Consider the following 6000-nt stretch of genomic DNA (forward strand, 5'->3'; position numbering starts at 1 on the left):
TGAATGTAAATCTAAAAACCACAGACTGATGTAGTTTTGTGAGTTTTTTTTTTTCACACGAGGAAACCAAACCACTGAGAGTAAATGACTAGTCCAAGGTTATCAAAGTCACACTAGTAGTTAGTTGCTGAGTCAGCACTTGAAACCAGGTCTCTGGTTCCCAGGTCTATACCCCTTCCTCTATACTACATTGTCTCTTTTAAAAATGCACCACCTTGTTTCAGACAACCGTGGAACTGAAAAAAACCTTATCTATCAGAAGATAGATGCAGTCTCTACTTGTCTAAAAACTAGAAGAATCATAAATCTTACAGAATAGCCTGGTCTTCAGGGATTTCTAGTCTGATAGATTTGGGCAGGCCAGAAAAGTTCAGATATGTTGCAAAAATCTATGGGTAAGCACTGAAAATATTGTTGCTTGGAGTGAAGGTCACATGACAGAGAATCTACTTGCTTATCCACCCAGCACTATTCATTTCAATTTATGAACCAGCCATTCCCATGTGAACACAGCTGGAGATGGTAAGAGGGAAGCTAAAAATTGAGAGTGGTAGAAGAGAGAGCTAAAAGAGAAAAGGAAAAATGAGAAAATTGAAATAACAAAAATATATATAATGAACTAATCCCTACTTCTTCCTGTCCTGTGAGCCATGAAACACCAAAGAAATAGTTCTAAGGAAAAGGAGTCTGATTCACTGGCAGGTAACCTATGAACCGTAACATACCAAGACAGCTCTTTCATCTTACCGCCTCCTCATACTAACCCAGTAAGGCACTACAGAGCTAGAAGGCACCTAATTTCAACTTACCTTCTGCTTTTCTTTTCTTGGGCAATATCTAATGTTAATGTGTTAAGTAAACAATACACCCTTGTAAGACACAACTAGAGAAGAAAGTCATTTCCAATTTTATCAGTTATTCTATACTGAGAAATATAGTAATTCCATATGTAAGTCTAAGAAGTCAAAAGAGGCACTGGTTGGTAAGAAATATTTCCCTTTGTCTTCAAAATGTGATTGTCACAAGCACTGATCCATATAGCCATGAAGACGGGGCTTAGAAGATCAGCTTTGTCAAGGGCAGAGCATTTACAGAAGTTTAGAACTGAACTCTGTCAAAGGTAAATACCCACCTCTATATACGCATGTGTACCTTAATGATGTCAACGTACTGACTCCAACACAGTTAGATTTCCTTGCTGCAATAACTGCCTAGTACCCATAATATAGAGAGTGCACTGTTTCCAAAATAAACTAGGAAAAATTGTACATTTTTTGGGATAGAGAAATTCAGGTTACTTGCCTTGATTTTCTCAGTACAATGAGTCTATTAAATTACTTCACACTACCAAATAAAATCATATAACACAAATGCCATGCCCTATTAAACTGCTAAGGGTGAAATTCTCAGCTTCCTTTGGTGGAATTCTGGTAATCACGTGGCAGGCAACCTGTAGTTTTCCCACCTTTCTTGACCTTTCCTTGTGTGCCGAATGTGAATAGAAGCTCCAGTGCCAGGTGCTATAGACAGTACTTACACTGACCACTGTTTATTTGTCTTGGGTCAGATGTTTTTCAGACTTCTCAGAGCAATGCTCTTTCTAATCTCAATCATTTATGCATGGATCCTATTAAAGGGAAACTGCACCTAGTCTAAGAACTCCATGTTTTGAGGACAATGAGGTGACTTATACAGATACTTAAACTCAGTGGCATTTTCTGGTTTTCCTCCTGGAAAGAATAATTGCTTTGACAGTGTGTGCTGCCCCTCCCCTTCAGTAAAGTATTCTGTGTACTTTCTTTACAGGTTGTTTATTTCAATAGACATTCTTGCACCTCTCACTTTTTTTCTTAAAAAACAAGGCACGTTTTCTAAGGGCCTTCTGAAAAATACTGGAAAAATCCACAAAATCTACAGACAGTTTGCTTGTGTCAAATCTTCTCCTACATAATATAAACTAGCATATAAAAAATAGGTTTCTTTTCCGGAAAGGAGGCACTTCCTTCAAACAAAAAGTATTCAAGACTCAAAATTTGCTGCATGAACATACTTTAGTGAGAATGCAAAGTTTTAAATTCACATTATGTGTGAATATTATAAGAGAAGCAATTATGGAAAGTTGTACTGTCATATTCTCACCATCTAGAGGAGTAACTGAAAGTACAGAAGTCCCCTTCCTTACCCCCTGTCACTTTCCACAGTTTCAGTTATCCAAGGTCAAACAAAAATATTAATTTATTTTGAGAGACACCACATTCACATAACTTTTGTTACACTATACTGTTATAATTATTCTATTTATTATTAGTTACTGTTGTCAATCTCTTGCTGTGCCTAATTTATAAATTAAACTTTGTCATAGGTATGTATGTATAAGAAAAAAAATAGTATATATAGGGTCTGGTACGACGCAGGGCTTCAGGCATCCACTGCGGGCGTCTTAGATCATATCCCTTGTGGGTAAGGGGGGACTACTGTAATCCAAAACTGTACTCTAGATGACATTTCTAGTTGACTCAGTTTCTTTTTTCAGAAGAGGAAATTATTCTTTCCCTTTAGCCTAGAGCAATATTTTAATCATAAAATCACAGAATTTAAAGTGAGAAGAGTCATTGAAGCCTCTAAATACAGATATAACTTTGTAAACTCCCTAAATTCTATTTGAAAAATAATTTGTTATTTTCATGGTTTCTTTGTAAAATTACATGACGTTCTGAAGGACTTGCTATGACAACCCCAGGAGTGCAAAAATGCTGTTTACACATAGAACAAGTATCACAAGAGATAAAATAATACAAACATTCTTGCAGTGTGCTTTAGTGCTGACCTGGAGGGCTGCATTTATGAGAAAGGGCCATGATATATGTACTAAATTTGTAAAAATGAGTCCATCTTCAAAGGCTTCAGGGTATATGTATGTGCAAGACACTAAAGCATGAAAAAAACTTTAAAATGAATATGTAAGGCTTAATTCCCTAAAACCACCAGATCTATGTCTTCAGAGAAACAGAAAGAACACTCCCCTGGTTTTTTAGAGCAGTTCCCAACCATGAGGTTATGACAAATAACTGTGTCACAGACAAATTTTGAGCTGTGCTGCAAGGAATATGTTTATAATAATATTTTAAAAGGAAAGTTTGTAACTGATTTATTTATTTTGAAGAAAATAATTTAAAGCCAATTCATAGTGATCCTCACTTACTTGCATTCCTGTATGCTTTTTGAGTAGAAGAGAGAAGTTGAGTGAGGTTACAACTTGTTCCCAGATATTCTTCCCTTGTACACATGAATGAATCCATTTATTCATCGATTTAACAAATGCTTTTTAAGTTTCTAGAATGTTCCAGGCACTATGCCAGGTACTGTAAATGCAAAGATGATTAAAGCACGGTCCGTACCCTTTGGAGAACCCATATAACCAGTATGGGAGGCAGACATGTAAAAAACGTAAGTGAAATCCAAAGCGATGAGTGCTAATACAAGTAAATGCTAAGTGATAAGGAAATACTGGAAAGAAAATAGCTTTTTCTGTATAAGTCAAGAAAGATTCCACACAATTAGGTTAGTTGAGATAGGCCTTACACAATTACTGAGAATTTACTCAGACAGGAAAACAGGCAGGGACTTTGTAATTTATTCTCTAGAAAGAGGGAAAACATTGGAGTTGCTCTTTTTGTTGTTTATGACTTTTTTAAAAGTAGGGAAGCAGCATGACTAGACTTGTCTCTCAGAAAGTGAATTTTTATCGATACATAATAATTGCATACATTTATAGAGTACATATATTTTGATATACACATACAGTGTATAACAATCAAATCTGGGTAATTAGGTTATCCTTCACCTCAAACATTTATCATTACTTTGTGTTGGGAAAATTTTAAACTTCTAGCTATTTTTGAAATATCCAATAAATTACTGTTACCTGTTGTCACCCTACTGTGCTGTTGAACACCAGAATGTATTCCTTCTATCTGACTGTATTTTTATACCCATTAACCAACTTATCTTCATCCCCCTCCCACACACACCCTTCCCAGCCTCTGGTAACCACCATTCTATTCTCTACCTCCATGAGATGAACTTTGATAGTTCCCACATATGTGTGAGGACATGCAATATTTGAGAGAAAGCTAACCTTGATGATTATATAGAGGATGCCTGGGAGAGGAGGGAAACCGGAAGCTGGAATTCCAGTTAGAAGGTTATTATGAGAGTCAAGGTAAGAAATGGTGAGAGCCTGAACCAAACAGTGACTGTAGGAATAAAGAGACTGAAATAGATTTAAGTGATATTTAAGCAACAGGACAATCAATAGGATATGGTGACTGACTGGATTCAAGAGGTGAGGAAGAGATAAATTAATAAAAAATGACTCCAAGTTTTCTAGCTTGAGTAATTTAACAGACATTGGCATTATTAATCAAGGAAAGAGGCTTGCAGAAGAAAAAATAGGTTTCAAGAGATGAGTTTTGTTTTGGACATGTTAAGCTTGAGATGTCAGTGGGTCCTTTTAAGTAGAGCTGTTCCACAGAGAGACATATTGTAATCAGATTTCAAGAAAAAGTCTTGGTTACCAATAAAGATTGAGATTCACTACGTATAGGTTGTAGCTAAAAATGTGGAACTGAATGACATCACCCAAGAAATGTGAAAACAGAAAGGGGTCCAGGCCAGAATTCCAAGGAACACTAAGCCTTGGAGAGTGGGCAGAAGAAGAGTGGGGAAAGCTGAGAAAAAGAAGGCATTAGGCAGACAAACGAATAGAGAAATGTGCTTTGGAAAAAGTTTTAAGAAGGAGGAAGTTGTCAAAAATATTATGTGCCAAAGAAAGTTAGAATGAGCACAGAAAAGAGGCCACTGAATTTGGCAAACAGGGTGTTATTAAGTGATCTTAGAGCAATCTCAGGAGTAGTAGAGAAGAAACCAAGAATCCATTAAGCTAAAAGACATAAAGGATGTTCTCTGAAGATCAGGAAAGGGGATTTAAAAGATACAACGATACTACCCAGCTCCCATGGAAATCATTGTTCCTTCTGCCATGAGCCCCATAGATGGTTACAAATATATTAATGGAAGGAGGGGTGAAGGAGAGGTAAAACCCCTACTTTTTGACTATGATCCTCTGTGCCAGTTATTAACTTGGTGTCTCTCAGACTTACCTTCTGTGTTCTACTTTGTGAGGCCCTGTGGTGCCGGGGCTGCAACTCTGCAAATCACATTTCCAGCTGGCTCATTTGCCGTGGGTTCCCTGATAGGTGCTGAAGCTAGGGAGCACAGGAGGGAGAATGCAAGCCTGAAGGAAGGGCAGAAGGCGTTACTCCTTCCCGTTTGCTTTCTGGTTTCTTAAATGTTACCACAATAATGGCCCTTCACCAAGGCCAAGGTTTTGGTTCCAGTCTGCAGCTTTTGGTCCCATTGTTCCCAGATTCAGGCTTATTGTGTTCCTCAAGGGACAACTGCATCAGGCTGCCAGCACCCTCTCCTCAGGAATGCGTGTTCCAGCTCTACATGGACCCTCCTCCAAGCTTCCTGGTTCTGATAACCCCAATCTCTTCCTTTTGTCCCCCTAGTCCTAGAGGTGGTAGTGATTTCCTGAGACAGGGAATAGTAATAGGCAAAGAACAGGTTTGGAGAAGAAAACTCCAGTATTCTGTGTTGGAGAAGTTAAAGACATCTTTGTGATTAATATAGTGACTACAAGACTTCAGGCACTTTTTATCCATCATTTATTCAAAAACACACACACATTATATATATATATATGTATATGTATGTATGTATTATGTGTATACATAAAATATTAAAATACATATACTGTTAAACTCTATACATAATATTGAACTATATATAATATTAAACTATATACATATGAATAATATTAAAGTAGCCTATCATAAGGAAGCTTGAATGTTCTGGGTTGTTTTCCCTGTAGTGAAACAACATTGGACTGAACAAGCTGATTTGCGCTAATATTTGCACTGCCGATAATTGGTTGTG

The 6000-nt window shown here is 37.2% G+C and overlaps 1 long non-coding RNA gene across 1 annotated transcript in view; it reads right to left on the reverse strand.

Moving 5' to 3' along the window:
- Nucleotides 1-5292, reverse strand: part of LOC105373294 (uncharacterized) — a 28332-nt gene extending 23040 nt beyond the window's left edge. The window contains exon 1 of the long non-coding RNA XR_938466.3: nt 5163-5292. This is a non-coding gene — a long non-coding RNA (uncharacterized LOC105373294). The remainder of the gene's footprint in view (nt 1-5162) is intronic.
- Between the last annotated feature and the right edge of the window lie 708 nt (nt 5293-6000).

This window comes from Homo sapiens, chromosome X (assembly GCF_000001405.40).
Source record: "Homo sapiens chromosome X, GRCh38.p14 Primary Assembly".
Taxonomy (NCBI): domain Eukaryota; kingdom Metazoa; phylum Chordata; class Mammalia; order Primates; family Hominidae; genus Homo; species Homo sapiens.